This window comes from Homo sapiens, chromosome 6 (assembly GCF_000001405.40).
Source record: "Homo sapiens chromosome 6, GRCh38.p14 Primary Assembly".
In the NCBI taxonomy this organism is placed as follows: domain Eukaryota; kingdom Metazoa; phylum Chordata; class Mammalia; order Primates; family Hominidae; genus Homo; species Homo sapiens.
Window position 1 is genome coordinate 42,451,619 of NC_000006.12, and position 21,629 is coordinate 42,473,247.

The 21,629-nt window shown below is 44.6% G+C and overlaps 2 protein-coding genes and 1 long non-coding RNA gene across 43 annotated transcripts in view, besides 2 other annotated features; 2 read left to right on the top strand and 1 right to left on the bottom strand.

Moving 5' to 3' along the window:
* TRERF1 (transcriptional regulating factor 1) overlaps positions 1-606 on the bottom strand; it is a 227,294-nt gene extending 226,688 nt beyond the window's left edge. For 14 of the 39 annotated variants that reach the window (XM_017011054.2, XM_017011052.2, XM_017011049.2 and 11 more), the window contains exon 1: positions 56-308. The gene's annotated coding sequence lies outside the window, so the exon portion shown is untranslated. Of the gene's footprint in view, positions 1-55; positions 309-402 lie in introns of those variants that run through there. The other 25 variants (XM_047419067.1, XM_047419061.1, XM_047419048.1 and 22 more) reach the window with 3 other exon arrangements.
* Positions 742-5,566, top strand: LOC124900214 (arf-GAP with GTPase, ANK repeat and PH domain-containing protein 2-like). 3 transcript variants are annotated; one of them, XM_047419627.1, is made up of 4 exons: positions 742-2,664; positions 3,162-3,297; positions 4,327-4,536; positions 5,118-5,566. In XM_047419627.1, exon 1 carries the CDS (start codon positions 1,203-1,205, stop codon positions 2,298-2,300), a length of 1,098 nt encoding a protein of 365 aa, XP_047275583.1. In that variant the 5' UTR covers positions 742-1,202; the 3' UTR covers positions 2,301-2,664; positions 3,162-3,297; positions 4,327-4,536; positions 5,118-5,566. The 3 variants fall into 3 exon arrangements, with proteins under 3 accessions (XP_047275583.1, XP_047275582.1, XP_047275581.1); XM_047419626.1 differs by having other exon boundaries at positions 742-3,297; XM_047419625.1 differs by having other exon boundaries at positions 742-4,536.
* LOC107986596 (uncharacterized) lies at positions 742-5,566 on the top strand. Its single transcript, NR_171668.1, has 5 exons — positions 742-1,007; positions 2,599-2,664; positions 3,162-3,297; positions 4,327-4,536; positions 5,118-5,566. It is a non-coding gene; the product is annotated as an uncharacterized LOC107986596 (long non-coding RNA).
* Positions 773-852: a silencer, noted in NCBI's record as "silent region_17203". NCBI's record gives its function as "represses an Ori minimal core promoter by ATAC-STARR-seq in GM12878 lymphoblastoid cells {active_cell/tissue: GM12878}" and the evidence as "EXISTENCE:reporter gene assay evidence [ECO:0000049][PMID:35858748]".
* Positions 1,323-1,762: a silencer, noted in NCBI's record as "silent region_17204". NCBI's record gives its function as "represses an Ori minimal core promoter by ATAC-STARR-seq in GM12878 lymphoblastoid cells {active_cell/tissue: GM12878}" and the evidence as "EXISTENCE:reporter gene assay evidence [ECO:0000049][PMID:35858748]".
* Positions 5,567-21,629: the final 16,063 nt, after the last annotated feature.

A 21,629-nucleotide genomic window follows, 5' to 3' on the forward strand; every position in this document is an offset into this window, starting at 1 on the left:
ACATGCACCCCTCCCTCTCCTCCTCCCCATGCGCCCTCCCCGGCCAGAAACTTACTAGTGAGCAAGCGTGCAGGCTCTCCTGATGCTGGAAACTTACTCCCAGATATAGCGCCCGCCAGCCCCCTTTCCCAGCCCTGCTCCCCTTCCTGCCCTCCGCCGCAAGCAACTCCAAACTCTCCGCATCCAGCCGTTCTCCCTCCCCAGTGGAAATTTGCAGCGCCGGGCTGCGCGCGTGCATCCACCCTCCCCTTCAGGAAACTTACTCCCCATCTGCATGCACCGCCTCTCAGCCATCGCTTAGAGGGAAGGGGGTGTGCTGGGGAGACAGAAATACATATGTATCTCTCGCCCCTCCCCCGGTCGCAGCCCACTCGGGGCCGAGCCGCGGTAACCTGGCCTTACCTTTGCATTGCTCCCCATCCTCGCCCCCTCCCTTAACCCTCCTTATCCGCTCCCCGGTACCCCCCTTTTTTCACCCATTACCCACCCCTAGCAACCGTTCCCAAGCTCCTCTCGGCCTTTTTTTTTTTTTTAAATCCAGGATGCAAATTCCTCCCTTGTCAGCAAATCGACTGTCAAATTATTTTCTTGCAAAAGGAGAAAGGCGGGGTGGGGGGGGGGAGCAGGAGCAAAAAGAGGGGGAGGGCGGGGGAAGGGAGGGGGAAGGGAGGGAGAGGGACCGAGGAGGGGAGATATCCCTCCGCAGAGCTGGGTCTGGCCGCGGGCGGGGAAGCAGGAAGTAAGGTGTCCAGCGCCGCGACCGGCTGGTCGTCCGCCTCGGCCCCCGCCCGCGTCCCCTTTCCCCCGGGGCGCAGCGCTACGGCGGGCGCGGGCCGCCCGGCGCATTGTTCGCAGCCTTCGCGGCGGTGCGCTGCTGACTTTATTTGTGCGCTTTGCGTGTGCGTGAGGTTGCACCTTTTGTAGGCTGGCGAGTCTCTGGACGAGGATGGGACGGGGGACACGGGCCCAGTTGCGGCCCTGCGCGAGCGGGACCTGTCAGCCCTGAGGTGCAGCGGACCCTCCGGCATGGCCGGAAAATCGAGGCCGGGGAGAAGGCAGCGTGGCCGGGAAGCTGCCGCCTTAAACCCGGACCAGTGCAGGATTGCTTCCTGCGTAGCCGTCCCGGTTATTGTAACACGCTTTGCAAGCTAACGACTGGGGTTTGTGAGGGGGTTTGTTTATTTTTCTAAGTGTTTGCAAAGATGCCGAGGTCGAGGCGGGCTGCGAGGAGACGGTCCGCGCCTACCCCCACCGCACCCTGGCCTCGGTGGGGCTGGGAGAGGGCTGGGGCTCCGGAGAAGGGGCTGGAGGTTCGCGAAGCGCGCGTCTCCATCCCTCCGCCCCGATGGGGGCGGGGAAGGGGTGCAGTAGACCGCGCTGGAAGAGCAGCTCTCTGGGGAGGGGTCTCCCTTGCCGCGGCAGGCGCAGCAGGCCGGGGAGGGGGGTTGCCTAGGAGAGGGGCCGGGCGGCGGAGGGGAGGGGAGGAGAGGGGGCGCGGGTGCAGCCGCCGCGCGCGCTCGCCCCTCCTCGCGCGCCATGACTGTGGAACGTGGTGCCGGGGAGGAGGGACGGCCACCGGGGGCCGCCCGGGGCTGCTCGGCATTGGTGCGGAAACCCGAGCCCGGAGTCGCTCCCTCGCGCTGTCTCCTCCTCCTCCTCTGCGGGGGAAACCGCTGCACCCAAACCGGGAGCAGCTGCGAGCAGGGGGCAGGGCGCGGGCTGAAAGGCGAGCCGAAGGTTCAAACCTCCGCGGCGCGGGCGGGGGCGGAGGGCAACAGCAGGACGGCCCCCAGGTCCCGAGAAGGCGTGGCAGTGGTCGGCCCAGGTGTCAGGGAACCTGGCCTGAGACCCCTGCATTTCCAAGCTTCTTTCCTGGTCAGAGGAAACGTGAACCAAAGGTAGTTCAGCTAAACAGACCACCTCGAGCCGGGTTCGAGGCATCTGTCTCGAGGGCAAGACAGTATTTTTTGCACGACAGAAAGTTACACCATCCATTTTTTTCCGTGGGGGAAATCATTGCGCCCCTTCCCCCAAAATGTCGCGCAAGAAGAATGACCTCCCGCTACCCAGACCTTCGCCAGTGTCCCCCACCCCACCCCCACCCGGGCGCTGGGTGTGGATTGGGCGGAGGGAGGCTATATGGGAGCTTAAAGCATGAGGTCATGAGCGGAGGAGACTGCTGCCAAAAGCACCCGAGGTTTTTGTGTTTTTTGAGGGGTAACGGTTCTCCATCTTCAGCAGTGGAAAGTCCTCCCGCCTACCCTACCAATTCTGGGGCACGTGGACCACAGAGTCCCTGAAAAGAGGAGGGGACCCGGGCTATTTCGCTTAATGAGCGTTTGGCGCGTGCCCAGCCCTTTATGGAGCCCTTCCACATAAGCAAAGAAAGCCGAGGGACAGCGCACAGTGTTGCGGCGACTGGGAAAGGCTTCAGATGCTCGATGTCCCCCGCCCTCTTTCCTCAGTCCTCGGTCATCTTCCAAGTGGGCTGCTTTCTGCGATAGCTTCCTGTCCCCCTCCGACCCATTCCTCCCAAGCGACTAAAACTCCTAATGACATTATTTTAAAGCCTTCAAAACCCTCTTCCATTGCCCTTAGAATAAAGCCAAGTTGTGATTTCGCCTCTACAGACCTCTCTACCCGCCCAGCTCTTCCTCGGATATTGTAAGCCCCGTCAAGCTTTCTTTGTTCAAGGGGTGGAGGAGGGGGCGCCTAACCTTTCCCCTTCCACCTCTTCTTACTAACTCCTGCTGGACCTTCAAGATTTGACTCAACTGTCAGTAACTTCAAGATGCCTTCCTGAGGGTACACCCAGGTCTCTACCTCAGGGGAAAAGACCTACCCTAGGTCTCCTGGCAGCAGCGCTGTGGCCGGAGTTGGCCCCAGTGGCGGCCTTTTTCCAAGCGGAGGAGGAACAGCCAAGCTAAGCTTGACCACCGTCACCGCCCAGGGACCTGAGCGGGAGCTGGCTAGGACAAAACCTCAAAACGGGACTTGGGAAAACCGCACCACCCAGAAAACTCAGCCCCTCCACCTCCCTCCCAGCACACACACACACCCTCTTAATCTAAAACTCCTCCCCGGGGCAGATAAGGAACCTATTCGGAGAGTTAAGTTAATTGCCCCAGGTCAATGTGGAAATTCACAGCCTGTCTTTCCAGCTCCTAAACCAGAAGCTGCAGAGAAGGAAGGATTTGGGATTTGCGGCTACACAGCCAAGGACGCTTTTGTCATCTTCAAAGGACCCCCTACACCCTACACGCTTGGCCCGCTCTGTTCATTGCCAACAGAGTGATGGTAATGCCAGATGGTTAGCTCTGCAGGCTCTGACCTTAGGCAAATTACTTAACCGCTTGGTTCAGTTTCTTTGCCTGTAAAATGGGAATGATAGTATTCATATCATAGTGTTATTGTGAGGTTTAAATGAGTTATTTTATGTAAGGCCTTAGAGTTTAAAGCAAGTTACTAATATTTGTGAATAGGGTTGTGTATCCTCCCCCGCCCCGCCCCCCCCCCACCTTCCAAAGGACTCTAGAAAATCAGATCCTCAGAGTCTTAGCTGATTGAAGCATCAGAAAAATATCTATGGGGCCAGGCGGGGTGGCTCACACCTGTCATCCCAGCGCTTTGGGCGGATGAGGTAGGCGGATCGCTTGAGCTGAGGAGTTTGAGACCAGCCTGGACAATGTAGAGAGACCCTCTCCACGTTTATTATTAAAAAATAAAAAATTAGCCAGGCATAGTGGTGCATGCCTGTAGTCCCAGCTACTGAGGAGGCTAAGGCAGGAGGATGGCTTGAGCCCACGGGGTTGAGGCTGCAGTGAGCAGATTGCCCCACTGCACTCCAGCCTGGGTGACAGCGCAAGACTCTGTCTCAAAAAATAAAATTATATATATAGAGAGAGGGAGAGAGAGAGAGAGAAAGAGAGCACCAAAAGGACTGGGAAACACCGGCAGATGCACAGACAATGCATCCCTGATTTTACCAATAGACTTGACTCCCAACAATGCATACTCTTGAAGGCAATCCACAGGTTGAATAAACCAAGTCCATGAGCGCTGGGTCTGGAATCTTTCTACAATCAGGGTCAGAAGGAGGGTGACTGAAATTAAAATATTAGCTTGGATCTTTGAAATCAGAGTCAGGCTGAAAAAGTCCCAATCTTAGTTCAAAACCTGTCCTGCATGACTGAAGCCCTCCTAGGGCTGCACAAAGTATAATGGAATTATTATTATTATTATCATTAGATCCTAGTCTTACCATTCTCAGCACTTATCCCCATAGCAAAAGACCATTTTTTAATGTAATTTATTCTTTTGGAATAGGTTGAATGCATTCACATGGTTCCAAATTCAAATAAACAGCAAGAAGTCTCCCTCCCACCCTGTCTGCCACCCACTTGGTTTTCCTTCTCTGGAGGCAACCTGGGTTAGTGGTCAGAAGATGCATTTAACTGTTTTCCAGCTGAGGCCTTGTGAGAACTCCTCGGACACCAATTTAAATCTTTATGTCCAGAACTCCTTTCTCCAATCCAGGTAGAGCCACTCCCCTATCCTATCCCCACTCCCACCCTTCCCCCCTTCAGCCTCAATCCTAAGCAGGCTCTATTAACAATGATGAGCCACCATTTCCTCGAGCTACTAACAAATGCAAATGTTTAAATACTTTGTGGTTCTTTTTCCTCTTCTACATTAATTGCTAACATTTATCGAGGGCTTTCCGTGTGCCACGCACTGTGCTAAATACTAGGCATGCATATTCTTATTTAATCTGCCCCAAATCTTCATCATTATCCTTATTTACAGATGCAGACAGAAATGAAAGTTCAGAGAGATTATGTAATTTGCACCAATTTGCATCCAGGCCAACCTGAATCCAAACCCTATCTCTTTTTACTTTTTCTTTCCTTTTTTTTTTTTTTTTTAAACAGGGTCTCACTCTTGTCAGCCCAGATGGCATGCAGTGGCACAGTCTATGGAGGCAATCAGGGTTAGCTGTCAGCTCACTGTGGCCTCAACCTCCCAGGCGCAAGTGATCCTCCCACCTCAGCATCCCCAGTAGCTGGGACTACAGGTGTACGCCACTACCCCCAGCTAATTTTTGTATTTTTTTGTAGAGATGAGGTTCCACCATTCTTGCCCAGACTGGTTTCGAACTCCTGGACTCAAGCGATTTGCCTGCCTCGGCCTCAAAAAGTGCTGGGATTACATGCATGAGCCACCACACCCGGACCCTCTCTCTTAAATAGTGGCCCTTTTGCCTCTCTGCAACACAGGAAAAATTCTGTTAGCCTGCATCAGAAGGAGTGGCATGGAGGCTTTGGAGTTAAGAAGATTTAATTCAAATTATGTGTCCGGTGCCTGCCAGCAATGAGACCTTGGTAAGGTTTCTTAACCTCTCTGAGCTGGGACCATACCTTCTGCGTTGGTTTAATATAAAGGTTAAATGCATGTAAATAAATGACTTCTAAAATAAATAACATTCTAAAATGTTAGTAACAACTAAATACAATATTTAGATCTTGTGAGGATTTGATTTGAATAAATAAGATTTTTTTAAAAGACATTTTTGAGACAAAATGTAGACTATCTGATATTAAGAAATTAATCACTTTTTCAGATATGATAATGGCATTGCAGTTTTTTTTAAGTTCTTATCTATTACAGATACATAATGAGGCATTTTGAGTGAAAATATATCTAGGATTTGCTTTCCAATACTCCATCCCCTCCCCATCAAAACACTAAATAAATGAAACAAGATTAGTGAAATACGGAAAATTGTTGAAGTTATTCATTATTCCATTTCCCATATGGAACTTTCCATACTAGTTTCCCTACTGCTGTTGAATATTTGACATGTTTCAAATACATTTGAAATAAATTTATTGTCTGAGATGATCAGGTTGAAAAATAATAAAATGAAATAAATTTAAAAGTAAAATAAACATAACCCTTTTAAGCATTAAAATTAAAAATTATGAGGCTTGTTGAATTATTACTGTTATAAATAATTACATACATGTATTTTTGAAACAGTCTTGCTCTTTCACCCAGGCTGCAGTGCAGTGGCATAATCACAGTTCACTGCGGCCTCAACCTCCCAGGCTCAGGTGATCCTTGCACGTCTGCCTCCCAAGTAGCTGGGACTGCAGGTGTGCACCACCATGCCTGGCTAAATTTTTCTCTTTTGTAGAGACGGGTTTTGCGATTTTGCCCACACTGGTCTTAAAGTCCTGGGCTCACGGGATCCTCCCACCTCAGCCTCTCAAAGTGCTGGGATTATAGGCATGAGCCACTGCACCCAGCCTAACATTTTTTAAGTTAACAAAATACAATGCTAGTACATAATAGGCATCCAGAAATGGCATTTTTTGTCACCATGAGCCATTCAGGGTAGCATGTAAGTCAGACCTGAGCCCTGAAAAGAGCAAGGTAGACAGGTAATTGTTAAGGACGCATTTAATTCCACAGAAGACAGCATATATGAAGGTAAATGGCAGAAGGACTGGGTGACAGGAACAGGCAAATTAAAGTTAGGGGCTGGTTTTCCCTGAAAATGTGCATCACTGCAGAGACACCTCAAGAATTTATAGACTTGGAATCAGATGCACTGGGTGAAATTCTCAACTCTGCTCACGGTTCTGCCACCCAGTCCAGAACTGTGACTGACTTCCCTCGTTTTCAGTTTAGATGCTAGAACTCTCTGGCTCCTTCTAGTTGTCTAGACTGTCCACAATGCTGCTGGCTTTCCCAAGAGAAGGATCATTTCTGAGGCTACGCTGGTTATTTGCCTATCTCAGGAACAAATCAGAGCTGAATGGAAATGTATCCAGTCCATAATCAAACGAAACGTTTTAGGCCCAGTGAGCATTTGTATATTGTTCTTGGAGTAATTTTTCCATGCTCTGGATTTAAGCAGCTGGAATGATTTTTACATATGACCCCGTTTTGAAATGAAAGTTTGTCCTCTTTAAGAGAAAGTGTGCATTTTGGGGAAAAGATAAGACAATATATTTGGTAACTCTTCAAATAAGTGAACCCTTCTATAAAATACTTCCCTTTATATTAAAGGTGGAGCTTTGGGAGAGCTTCTTAAAAACTGGACAAACTGCAGGCATGGAAAAATAGACAAGAGCATGGAGGGGGAAATACCACCTCAGTTGCCTTTCTACCCACTGCTGCAGAATGAAGTCTCAGAGAGGCAACAGGACCAAATGAAGGGGATAGCACAAATCAAGTGTGTGCTTTAGGGATGAGTGATGGATATAATTCATGCAGTTGTTGAAGCAGTCCCAGTGATCCAGAGGCAGGCGAGTCGTTCACTTTCAGTGGCAAGTGAAAGCAATGAAACAATAGGGTTGTAGGGTGTTTCTCAAACCCTTGTTTCTTTGCCATCCTTGAATCTGCAACAACCAAAGCAATGAAAACAAAAACAGAAAATTGAGGCACAGGAGGGTTTATGGAACTCCCATTTGAAACCAACAAGGCAGCATAATTTATTGTAGTAACTTCAACCCTCAATTCTGTTAAGGATGGTATTGAGAGAGCTGGCCTTACTCAAGACCAGAGGCCTAACTGATATTTGTTTAGTAATACTAAGAGATTGCTATCTAGGGTAAGTTTCTAGCCAGAGAGAAAAATAGGTTCCAGGATATGAGAAGGTTCTCAGCTTAAGCCATATATTTTTTAATTAGCCTATTTAGTAGATTCTGTATCCAATACAAAAAACTAGAAGTGATCAACTGGTTTGGGTAACTCCTAAAACTTCCTGCACCTGCCCAGGAGGCGTGCTTGGGAGTCACACATTTCAGCTGTGGCAATAGTAGGTGGCATGCAAGGGCTATGGTGGCCCACAATAGTTCCCAGCTTCAAGTTAGTCCCAAATGAGTGGCTTTAGCTGTGAGGGTGAGGAAAAGAGAGAATTAGTTAATTTCCTATTGCAGATGCAAATCTACTAAAGTTTTAAATTGCACAGTGAGTATAGATTACAGCTAGTTTTCCAGATTCCCTAATGGAGCCACAATTCTTTTTAAGTGGGAGAGAGAACACATGAGACCTTGTATCAGAAAGAATTCTGGCAGGAAACAGGTGGTATTCTCAATAGATAACTGCAGATCATTTAAGGTAAGTAGTATTTACAATACAGTGCAGGCAGGACCGAGCTCCATGGGTGTGCAACCTGTGCAACTAGACCTCAAAATTAGAGGGGCCACACACTAGTTTAATGCTTTGCAATCCCCATCTTTAAATTCTTTGGAATTTTTAAAATGTATATAGAAATGGAAGAGTCTAGTTATGTTGCCCTGGCTCATCTTGAGCTGCTGGCCTCAAGCAGTCCTCCTGCCTCGGCCTCCTGAAGTGCTGGGATTACAAGCATGAACCACTCCGGCCGACCTTTGTAATTTTTGAACAAAGGACCCTGCATTGCACCGGCCCCACAAATTACGTGTGTGCAGGATTAAGGGAAACCAGCAAGGGGTGGTATAGCACCAAAGGACCAAAACCAATATGGAGCCTTTACCATTCCTAGTTCAGAAACAGCAAGAAAAAAAATATCTGCAATGGAGTGAAAGTGATTGCTGAAGTTGTGGCCACAGGTGTAGCTGTAAGAGAGGCCCACCTAAAAGGAGCTGTGGCCTTCAGTAGAAGAACACAACCACAGCCAATTCATAGCCTGCAGAGAGGGAGGTGGATAAATACGTATCCCAAATTATTTCTCTTCCTACCCTCTGATCTGTTTGTGCCTCCCACGGCTGAACCTGACAGGAAGCCAGAGGGTATGGGAGCCCACTGATGGAATCGATGGAGGTCAGCCTTCCAGGGCCTAGGGTACAGTAGAGAAAGGTAGCAAGTAGGTCTATAAAGAGCAATCAGAGAAGATCCAGCCCAGAACTTGTACCTAAAAATTTCAGGATCATGGTTAAGAGTAAATAAAATACAAATAAACAAATTTCAGTAAAGAACTTTACATTGTAATGATTTTTAAAGGACAGTCATTCGGCATGTATCATGCACGGGATTTTATACATTTTTAAAGGAAAAACGAGATTAAGAATTTCAAGAAAAGAGGCTTGGGTGTTTGAAAGGGTCATCACTAATGAAAAGAAAAGGCTGGGATTTCAAAATTTTTTAAACATTCCAGGCCCCGAAGCCACATTTTGCAAACAGCCCATTCCCCTTGATCCTCACTTCCCTCACCCTGAGGCCACCATCACAATACAAAATGCTTTCACAGGCACAGCATCCCAAGATTTGCAAGGGCCACTTGGGCAATAGCAGCTGAATAGAATATATTCCAACAAAGAGGATTTTGGTTCAATTATATATTTATTGATACCTTTTACATAGGAGGAGCATTGAAAAGGTGGTGTAATGGGAATACATTATGCTAACTTGTAACCATTCTGACTACTGAATTCCTCAGCACATTATTAGACTATCCAGTTCACTTTCAAAAAAACAGCGTGGCTCTGATTCATTTGGATTCCACTCATAGTTCCTAGCTCAGAAATGGGCAGAGCTAGATTCACTCTTTATGATTTCCCTGAAAAATAAAGATTTTTCTACAAACATAAACAAGATTCCAGAGACACAACCTTCTTTTTCAAATTGAGGTAAAATATACAGAACACAAACTTAGCCATTTTAAAGTGTATGATTAAGTGGCATTTTGTACATTCACAATCTTGTGTAGCCATCACCTCTATCTAGTTCCAAAATATTTGTATCATCCTGAAGGGAAACTTTACACATAAAGCAGTTAATCCTCATTTCTTCTCCTCAGCCCCTGGAAACCACTAATCTGCCTCTGTCTCTGGATTTACCTATTCAGGATAGATAGATTAGATAGATAGATAGATAGATAGATAGATAGATAGATAGATAGATAGATAGATAGATATAGTAGTAGTTGTTGTTGCCCAGGCTGGAGTGCAATGGCATGATCTCGGCTCACTGCAACCTCTGCCTTCCAGGTTCAAGTGATTCTCCTGCCTCAGCCTCCCAAGTAGCTGGGGTTACAGGCCCCCACCACTACCATGGCCGGCTAATTTTTGTATTTTTAGTAGAGACAGGGTTTCACCATGTTAGCCAGGCTGGTCTCGAACTCCAGACTCGGTCTCAAAAAAAAAAAAAGTCACAGAAAACTTTCTGGAAGAGCTAACCACTTGCATTAAACTGAAGTGAATAAAATACCTAGCTTATAAGTTTCCCATAATATTAAACAGAGTAAAATTTAAAATCTCAATTACTTGTATACCCCGTGTACACTGACATAAATTATCTATAAAGTACTATTTTTTATAAAGGCACTGGAAACAAAGTCATTGGTCATTGGTTTTCTATCATGATGTTTAATATCACGATGTTTAATATCACGATGTAAAATCCTTGCTTTAAGGATTGTAAGAATTAAACTAGCTGGTGCGGTGGCTCACACCTGTAATCCCAGCACTTTGGGAGGCTGAGGCGGCAGATCACAAGGTCAGGAGATCGAGACCATCCTGGCTAACACGGTGAAACCCTGTCTCTACTAAAAATACAAAAAAATTAGCAGGGCTTGGTGGCAGGTGCCTGTAGTCCCAGCTACTTGGGAGGCTGAGGCAGGAGAATGGTGTGAACCTGGGAAGCAGAGGTTGCAGTGAGCCGAGATTGCACCACTGCACTCCAGCCCGGGCTACAGAGCGAGACTCCATCTCAAAAAAAAAAAAAAAAACTAGGCCCGGCGCAGCGGATCACTTGAGGTCAGGAGTTCAAGACCAGCCTGGCCAACATGGTGAAACCCCGTCTCTACTAAAAAAATACAAAAATTACTTGGGCATGGTGGTGGGCGGCTGTAATCCCAGCTACCTGGAGGTTGAGGCAGGAGAATCTCTTGAACCCAGGAGGCGGAGGTTTTGCAGTGAGCCGAGATTGTGCCACTGCACTCCAGCCTGGGCGACAGAGTGAGAGTCTGCCTCAAAAAAAAAAAAAAAAAAAAAAAGAAGGAAAGACAGAGAGAGAGAGAGAAAGCGAGAAAGAATGAAAGAAAGGGAGAAAGAAAGAGAGAGAGGAGAGAAAGAGAAAAGAAAAGAAAGAAAAAAGAAAAGAAAAGTATTAAACTAACAAGATGTTTTCCTGATTTTTAATTTGGTTGTTTTCCTGCTATTGAGCTTTGAGGAGTTTTTCTAGGTACAACTCCTTTGCACATGCAATTTGCAAATATTTTCCCTTAGTCTACAGTTTCATTCTCTTAACGGTGTATTTCACAAAGCCAAAGCTTTTAATTTTAATAAAATCCAATTTGTTACTTTCCCATTTTATGGGTTGTACTTTTTTTTTTTTTTTTTTTTGAGACGGAGTCTCCCTCTGTTGCCCAGGCTGGAGTGCAGTGGCGCGATTTCAGCTCACTGCAACCTCTGCCTTCCGGGTTCACGCCATTCTCCTGCCTCAGCCTCCCGAGTAGCTGGGACTACAGGCGCCTGCCACCACGCTCGGCTAATTTTTAGTATTTTTAGTAGTGTCAGGGTTTCACCGTGTTAGCCAGGATGGTCTCGATCTCCTGACCTCATGATGCACCTGCCTCGGCCTCCCAAAGTGCTGGGATTACAGGCATGAGCCACCGCGCCCGGCCAGGTTGTACTTTTGATGTTAGGTCTAAGAACACTCCCTAATCCCAAATCATGTACATTTCTACTGTTTTCTTCTAAAAGTTGTATAGTTTTACATTTTATTTTTACATCTATGATGCATTTTTGAGTTAATTTTTATATAAGGTGTGAGATTGAGATGAAACTTTTTTGTTTTTAATTTTGTTGTTATTGTTGTTGTTGTTATGTGTTCGTTTGTTTGTTTTTGAGACAGGGTCTTATTCTGTCACCCAGGCTAGAGTGCACTGGCACAATCTCGGCTCACTCCAGCCTTGACCTCCCAGGTTCAAGTGATCCTCCCACCTCAGCCTCCCAAGTAGCTGGGGCTACAGGCATGCACTACCACTCCTGGCTCATTTTTTTTTTTTTTTTTTTTTTTTTTTTTTTTTTTTGTAGAGATGAGCTCTCTCTATGTTGCCTAGGCTGGTCTCGAACTCATGGCTTGAGCAATCCTCCCACCTCAGCCTCCCTAAGTGCTGGGATTACAAGTGCAAGTCACTGTTCCCAGCCTGTTTTTATTTTTTTTGTGGAATATTTTTGTATACAGATGTCAGTTGTTCCAACACCACATGTTAAAAAGATTATCACTTTTCCATTTAATTGCGTTTGTACCTTTTTCAGCAATCCACATTTGTGACTTTATTTCTGGACATTTTATCCTTATTAATTGGCCTGTGCATCTATCCTCTGCCAATAGCACACTATCCAGATTACTGTTACTTTACAGCAAGTCTTAAAATCGGGTAGACCTGTTCTTCCTGCTTTATTCTTCTTTTTAAAAATGGTTTTGGCTCTTCTGATCCCTTTGCCTTTCCAAATAAATTTTAGAATCAGCTTGTGTATACTTACAAAAGTCCTATTGGAATTTTTATTGGAATTGCATTACATCTATAGATTAATGTGAGAAGAATTTGACATTTTAACTAAATTAAATCTTCCAACCCACATTATGTCTCTCCATTTATTATGTCTTCTTTGGTTTCTTTCATCAGTGTTCATACTTGTCAGCATATAGATATCCTGCACAAGTTTTGGTATATTTATACCTAAGTATTTCTCATTTTAAAATTTTAATTAGTATTTTTTAAAATATTGGTTTCCAAATTTTAAAATAAAATATATAGAAGCATGATACATTTTTTTGAGTTGACTTTATACACTGGGACTATAATAAATTCATTAATTAGGGTAGGAGTTTCTTTGGATATTCCTTGGGATTTTCTACATAGAAAATCATCACTTGCAAATAGGAACAGTATTTTTCTTTCTAATCTGTATGCCTTTTACTTTTTTTCTCTGCCTTACTGTACTGGCTAGGACTTCCAGTACCATATTGAATAGGAGAGATGAAAGTGGACATCCCTGCCTTGCTTTCTATCCTAGGGGAAAGTATTCAGTCTTTTACCATTAAGTATGATGTTCACTTTGGTATTTTGTAAATTATCAAATAAAGGAAATTCTCTTTTATTTCTAGATTGCCGAGGGTTTTTACCATTAAGGAATGCTGGGCTTTTTGAAATGCTTTCTTTTTGCTTTGTTTGATATGCTGTTGTCATTTTTACTCTCTGGTTTTTTAATTTGGTGGATTATAATAATTGATTTTTGAACATGGAACCAGCCTTGCATTCCTAGGATCTAGGATAAACCCCATGTGGTCATGAAATTTTTTTTTTTTTTTTTTGAGACGGAGTCTCACTCTGTCACCCAGGCTGGAGTGCAGTGGCACAATCTCGGCTCACTGCAACCTCTGCCTCCTGGGTTCAAGCGATTCTCCTGCCTCAGCCTCCTGAGTAGCTGCAATTACAGGCACGCGCCATCATGCCTGACTAATTTTTCTATTTTTAGTAGAGACAGCGTTTCACCATGTTGGGCAGGCTGGTCTCGAACTCCTGACCTTGTGATCTGCCCACGTCAGCCTCCCAAAGTGCCGGGATTACAGGTGTGAGCCACCGCACCTGGCCAAATGTTATTCTTTTTACATATTGCTGGATTCAATTTCCTAATTTTTCATGAAAATTTTTGTGTACTGTTCATGAAGGATATTGGTCTATAGTTTTCCTGTATTGTCTTTGTCCAGCCTCATAATATGAACTGGGAAGTGTTCCTTTCTCTCCTATTTTCTGAAAAAGATTGTGTAGAATTGGTGCTATTTGTTCATTAAAAGTTTAATAGAAATTCACCTATCTGAGCTTGGAGATCTTTTTATTTTATTGATATTCTCTATTGTTTTTCTGTAATCAATGTTATTGAGTTCTCCTCTTTATTATTTCCTTCCTTCTGCTTGCATTGGATTTTATTTTGCTCTTCTTTTTGTTAGTTTTTTAAGGTAGAAGACTAATTTGTTGCTTTGAGACCTTTGTGGGTTTTTTTTTCTTCCCTCCCTCCCTCCCTCCCTTCTTTCCTTCCTTCCTTCCTTCGTTCTTTCCTTCCTTCCTTCCTTCCTTCCTCTGTCTCTCTCTCTCTCTTTCTTTCTTTCTTTCTAGACAGAGTTTCACTCTGTCGCCCAGGCTGGAGTGCAGTGGCTTGATCTTGGCTCCCTGCAATCTCACCCTCCCAGGTTCCAGTTATTCTTCCACCTCATCCTCCCAAGTAGCTGGAATTACAGGTATCAGCCACCACACCCTTCTGATTTTTGTATTTTTAGTAGACACAGGGTTTCACTATGTTGGCCAGGCTGGTCTCGAACTCCTGATCTCAAGCAATATGCCCACTTCAGCCTCCCAAAGTGCTGGGATCCCAGGCGTGAGCCACCATGCCCGGCCTAGACCTTTCTTTTTTCTTAATGTAAGCATTTTAATGAACTCAGTGCTCAATGGTGCCCAGGCTGGAGTGCAGTGGCGTGATCTCGGCTCACTACAACCTCCACCTCCCAGCCGCCTGCCTTGGCCTCCCAAAGTGCCGAGATTGCAGCCTCTGCCCGGCCGCCACCCCGTCTGGGAAGTGAGGAGCGTCTCTGCCTGGCCGCCCATCGTCTGGGATGTGAGGAGCCCCTCTGCCTGGCTGCCCAGTCTGGAAAGTGAGGAGCCTCTCTGCCCGGCCACCATCCCACCTAGGAAGTGAGGAGCGCCTCTTCCCGGCCACCATCACATCTAGGAAGTGAGGAGCGTCTCTGCCCGGCCGCCCATCGTCTGAGATGTGGGAAGCGCCTCAGCCCCGCCGCCCCATCTGGGATGTGAGAAGCGCCTCTGCCCGGCCGCGACCCCGTCTGGGAGGTGAGGAGCGTCTCTGCCCGGCCGCCCCGTCTGAGAAGTGAGGAGACCCTCCGCCTGGCAACCGCCCCATCTGAGAAGTGAGGAGCCCCTCCACCCGGCAGCCGCCCCGTCTGAGAAGTGAGGAGCCCCTCCGCCCGGCTGACACCCCGTCTGGGAAGTGAGGAGCGTCTCCACCCGGCAGCCACCCCGTCCAGGAGGGAGGTGGGGGTCAGCCCCGCCAGGCCAGCCGCCCCTTCCGGGAGGTGAGGGGCGCCTCTGCCCGGCCGCCCCTACTGGGAAGTGAGGAGCCCCTCTGCCCGACCAGCCACCCCGTCCGGGAGGGAGGTGGGGGGGTCAGCCCCCCGCCTGGCCAGCCACCCCGTCCGGGAGGTGAGGGGTGCCTCTGCCCGGCCGCCCCTACTGGGAAGTGAGGAGCCCCTCTGCCCGGCCGCCACCCCGTCTGGGAGGTGTGCCCAGCGGCTCATTGAGAACGGGTCATGATGGCAATGGCGGTTTTGTGGAATAGAAAAGGGGGAAGGGTGGGGAAAAGATTGAGAAATCGGATGGTTGCTGTGTCTGTGTAGAAAGAAGTAGACATGGGAGACTTTTCATTTTGTTCTGTACTAAGAAAAATTCTTCTGCCTTGGGATCCTGTTGATCTATGACCTTACCCCCAACCCTGTGCTCTCTGAAACATGTGCTGTGTCCACTCAGGGTTAAATGGATTAAGGGCAAAAAAAAAAAAAAAAAAAAAAAAAAAAAGCATTTTAATGGCATAAACTTTCCTTTAAATACTTGTCTTAGTCTGTTCCTGCTGCTATAACAAAATACCTTGAGGAACAAGGTAGCTAGCTTGAGCCACAGCTGGAGTGACTAAAGAACAATGCATTGGAACGCTTGGAGCAGAAATGTAAAGTGGCCCTGGGCAGCAAGCCTAAGCTCCTGAGGGTGCCTTGATCCCCTCCTTTGAAGCCATTCTGCTCTCCAGATCCTGGCACTCTGGGCCTGTGATGGCAGTGGCAGCCCTGACAGACTCCAAAATGCCTTCAGAGTCCTTCTTCCATTATTGTTTTGTTTGTTTGTTTGTTTGTTTGTTTTTGAGACAGGGTCTTGCTCTGTCACCCAGGCTGGAGCGCAGTGGCAGAATCATGACTCACGGTAGACTCAACCTCCTGAGCTCAAGTGATCCTCCCACCTCAGCCTCCTGAGTAGCTGGAACTACAGATGCATGCCACCACCACACATGGCTAATTTTTGTGTTTATTGTAGAGACAAGGTCTCACCATGTTGTCCAGGTTGGTCTTGAACTCCTGAGCTCAAGCTGTCTGCCTGCCTCGCCCTCCCAAAGTGCTGGGATGATAGGCATGAGCCATCATATCTGTCCCATTCTTCCATTATCTTGAGAATAGCATCTGGCTCCCTTTTAACCATACTAATCCCCTTATCAAAGGTCACTTGGCCACACTCTTGGTGTTCTCTCTGGAGCATGCTTTCTTATTCTTCAGATGACCAGGCTGAGAATTTTCCAACTCTTTAAGTTCTGCTTATCTTTTCTTTATAAATTTTATCTTTAATTTGTTCCTCTCTTCTCACATTTTGCTATAAGCAGTCAAAAGAAGCCATGCCACCCCTTCAACACTTTGCTTAGGGATTTCTTCTGCCAAATATCCTAGATCATCACTTATAAGTTCTGTCTTCCACAAAGCACTAGGACATGGACACAATTCAGCTAAGTTCTTTGCCATTTTGTATCAAGGATGGCCTTTCCTCCAGTTCGCAATAACTTATTTCTCTCTGAGACCTCAGTGGAACTGCCATTTGCCATTTACCAATATTCTGTTTACAACCACTTAGATAATCTCTAAGATTTAGCTTCTCCCTACAGTTCTCTTCTATACCCTCACCAGAATTGCCCTTAATGCTCCATTCATGGCAATCCAGGCTTTTCCTAGCATGAACCTCCAAACTCTTCCAGCCTCTACCCATTACCCAGTTCTAAAGCCGCTTCACTTCCATATTTTCAGGTACTTGTTATAGTAACACCCCACTCTCTGTACCAATTCCTTAGTCCATGCCTGCTGCTATAACAAAATACCTTAGACTAGATAATATATAAATAATAGATATGTATTCTCACAGTTCTAGAGGCTGGGAAGTCCAAGATCAGGGCACCAGCAGCTTTGGTGTTTGGTAAGGGTTTGCTCTCTGCTCCCAAGATGGCACCTTCTTGCAGTGTCCTCATGGAGGAAAGCAAAAAAGGCTAAAAGGAGATGAACTCACTTCTTCAATCCCTTTTATAAGGGCACTAGTCCCATCCTCTTAGCTTAATCACCTCCCAAAGGCCCCACGTCTCCATACCATCACCTTGGGGTTTAAGCTCCAACATCCAAACCAAAACAGCACTGCTTTAACCTCATCCCACAAATTTCTATATGAGTGTTGCTCAAACATATTTTCTAATATCCCTTGGGACTTTTTCTTTGACCCATAGGTTACTGAGATATGTGTTGTTTAATTTCCAAGGGTGTGGTGATCTATCAGTTATCTTTCTGTTATTGATTTCTACTTCAACTCCATTATGACTGGAGAACATACTTTATATAATTTCAATTCTTTTAAATTTTGTTCTATGGCCCAGGATATAGTCTGTCTTGGTGAAGTTTCTATGTGTATTCAAAATACACATAGGAGTGTATTTTGGAGTGTATTTTGTGGAGTATTTTACAAATGTACATTAGATTCAGCTGTTTGGTGGTGGTGTTCATCTTTTCTATATTCTTGCTGATTTTCTGTCTAGTTTCATTTACTAATGAGAGAAGAGTATTGAAATCTCCAACTATAATCATGGATTTGCCTATCAGTTTTTGCTTCATGTATCTTAAAGCTCAGTGGTTTAGTGCATATACATTTAGGATTATTAGGTCTTCTTGAGAAATTGACTTATTTTCTATTATGTAATGTCTCTTTTTATTCCTGTTCATTTTTCTTGCTTTAAAGTTTACTTTTCTTAATGTTAACAGAGCCATTCCAACTTTTGTTGGCATTGTATATCTTTTTACATTCTTTTACTTCTAAGTTACATATGATATTATATTTAAAACTGGTTTCTTGTACACAGCATATCTTTGGGTCTTTATTTTAAAAATTTTTTGGACAATCCCTGTTTTTTAATTGGTTTGTTTAAACCATTGGCATTTAATGTAATTTTTGGCATATTTGAACTTGTATTTACCATTTTTACTATTTGTTTCCTGGTATTTGTTTCTCTATTTCCCCTTTCCTAATTTCTCTTGGATTATTTGAATATCTTCTGTTAGACATTTAGGTGTGGTCCCATGAATCCCTTAGGCTCTTTTCATTAAAACAATTTTTTTCTCCCATTGAGTAATTTCTATTGACCCTTCTTCAAGGTCATGAACTCTTTCTTCAGTCATCTCTGAACTCTTTCCTACTGAACTCTTCCACTGCATTTTAATTTTCGTTATTATATTTTTCATTTAGAAAATTAGGCTGGGTGTGGGGGCTCATGCCTGTAATCCCAGCAGTTTGGGAGGCCAAGGCAGGTGGATCACAAGGTCAGGAGTTTGAGACCAGCCTGGCCAATATGGTGAAACTCTGTCTCTACTTAAAATATATATACAAAAAAAAATTAGCTGGGCATGGTGGCACGTGCCTGTAGTCCCAGCTACTCAGGAAGCTGAGGCAGGAGAATCACTTGAACCTGGGAGGCAGAGGTTGCAGTGAGCTGAGATTGCACCACTGCACTCCAGCCTGGGTGACAGGGTGAGACTCCATCTCAAAAAAAAAAATATTATTTATATCTTCTTTATATCTTCTATTTCTTTGATGAGATTTTCTATCTTTCCATTTGTTTCAAGAGTGTTCATTTGTACTTCTTTGAGTGTGGTTATAATAGCTGTTTAAAAGTCTGTCTCAAAATTACAACATTTGTATTTTTTCAGGTTGATGTCTGTTGATTCCTTTTTACTTGTTAGTTGAGATTTTCCTTTGAATGCTAAGTAATTTGGGGTTGTATTCTGGACATTTTTAGGGTAAAAATTAGGAGGCCTCAAAAATTAGGATTTATTCTCAGTCAATATTTTAATTCTGGACACATATTGGAATCAGCTAGCAACCCCACATCAGCTTGCTTCCAACAGTCATCCTGTTCATGGAAAGCCTTCTAATTTAGTTTATTTGGGATAATTTTGCTTATTTTGCCTTACTATTATGGAATATATTGGTGTTGCACTCTTTGTGTAGGAATGCAGGGTAAGCTTACTGAATATATTCTTAAATTGAACACTTATTAATCTTCTAGATATCACCTTTTGTCAGAACTCAAGAGTTATGAAGGGCCCTTGCCATATCGATGCTTTCTGACTGAGCTTCTCTCTACTGAATACAAGAGACCCTAATAGTTAGGCAGGAATATAATTGCCCCTAATTCAGCCTGAAGAAGTTACAGAAGATGGAACTTTGTCCTTCTACAACCCTTAGGATTAAGGGTTCCCTTGTAAAAGGGAGGGGGGAATTGTCAGAAGCGTTTAAACCAGAGCGATTCCATCTTGTATAGAGGCTGGGTAAAACAGGGCTGAGACCTACTGGGCTGCATTCCCAGGAGGTTAGGCATTCTAAGTCACAGGATGAGATAGGAGGTAGGCACAAGATACAGGTAATAAAGACGTTGCTGATAAAACAGTTTGCAGTAAAGAAGCCAGCCCAACTCACCAAAACCAAGATGGCAATGAAAGTGACCTCTGGTCATCCTCAGTGTTCATTGTACACTAACTATAATGCATTAGCATGCTAAGAGACACTCCTACCAGCGCCATGAGAGTTTACAAATGCCATGGCAACATCAGGAACTTACTCTGTATGCTCTAAAAAAGGGAGGAAACTTCAGTTCTGGGAAGTGCCCACCCGTTTCCTGGAAAACTCATGAATAATTCACCCCTTGTTTAGCATATAATCAAGAAATTACTGTGAATATCCTCAGTCTAGCAGCCCACGTTGTGCTTATCCTATGGAGTAACCATTCTTTATTCCTTTACTTTCTTAATAAACTTGTCTTCACTTAAAAAAAATTAGAATTTATTAGCAGGTTTTTCAGGTTTAATATTACAGACCAGTGGAAGAAGAAAGAAAGTTGTCGATAATTGGATATACTTTTTGAAAAAGTATGCACTATGTATGCCTACTTTTGAAAGTGCGTGCACTGCATATGTAAGTAAAAGTTGATGTTGAATTCTATTGCTTTTTAGCAAGTAAAAGAGTATTATTATTTTCTTTTTCTAAGCAATACTATAATATAGTGGTATGCAAGTTAGAGCCATATTACTTATCCAGTTACTAAAACATTTTTTGATAGCTGTGGCCGTAGCCCCTTGGTTCTGTCTCCACTAGGCCCCCACTATCTCAGCTTTTTCTTTGGAGAATCCCAAACTTTCCTTAATCCAGGAACTAAAGAGTTAACGCCTGGCTGGGCAGGGAGCTTCCTGGACCCTGCAACAGTACTGTGGTTGAAGACTATTTGGATCGGTCAAGGCCAGTGTCTACTGGTCATTAAATATTTGAAATGTCATGTCTGCCAGTATTTTACAGCCTTTTGTAGTTTACAAAAGGTGTTTACCTATATTGTCTTGTTTAAGCTTCACATTAACTCTGTGACATCAGTTGGGATTATTATTGCCATCAGAAAGCACTTTATAAAATTAACACATGATCAGTGTGGCAAATGAATTAGTGTTGGAGAACTCTAGGCTCAGAAAGGTTGTCACTTACCCAAGGTCTCATGCTTATAGGTAATGGAGCCTAAACTCCTAATAGCTTCAAGAATGGTACACAATTTAAATGCTCTGGGTTTTGGGGAGGAATATTTTACTCTGCGCTGGGTGGATCTGAGAAGGCAACTGAGGTGCTGGTGGGATCTGAGTTGGAAGAGAGGAAGAACAAGGATACATTTTACAAGAACAACGGTGTCTTACTCAGAAACAGTATGAAATGTGGCCCAAATGTAGTAAAAACAAATCACACTTCCATGACCTTTTCAATGCCCCTTCTCTGGAGGTGTTGGAACTGAAATTCCACAAGGCTTGGCCACAGAGAGCACCTAAGGCAAAGCTCTCCTCCACTACATTGCCTGCTCAATTCTGGATTGCTGTTGAAGGAGGCAGGAAATGAACATCCATGAGCAATGGGAACAATTTGCTCACGTAACACTTCTTTAGCTCACTTAACACAAGGATTGGATCCAGGTTTTGTGGAGCTTGAATCTTACACAATTTCGGGCTTCTTAAAAAAAAAAAAAAAAAAAGGAAACATAACTAGAAATAAAAAGTTAGGCACAGGACTTTGGAAAGAACTCTGCGAAGGTCCAGAAGGTTAAACTTCGTTGGTGTCACAGAATATCTACCTGTGCTTAACAGTATTAACACATGTGATACAAGGAGGGTAAATTATCCCATTAAATAACAGTGGAGTATTTCCCACTGTATATTCACCTCTGCTTAACAGTGACTTTAAAAATCTGCTAAAAGGAAAAAAATATTCAATGATTAGCACGAGAATATTTTTTAAATGGTATCTGTGCTATTCGCTTCCAAGGTATTATTTTTTCCCTCTAGTACTTTTTAAATCGTTTCATTGAGGTATAATAAACTGCCCATATTGATGAGCTTTGAAATAAGTATATACCTGCAAAAGTACCACCACCACCAAGATAATGAATATATCTGTCAACCCCAAAATTTCCTCCATCACCCTCAAAAGTTTCCCCATGCCCCTCTGTAATTCCTCCATCCAGCCC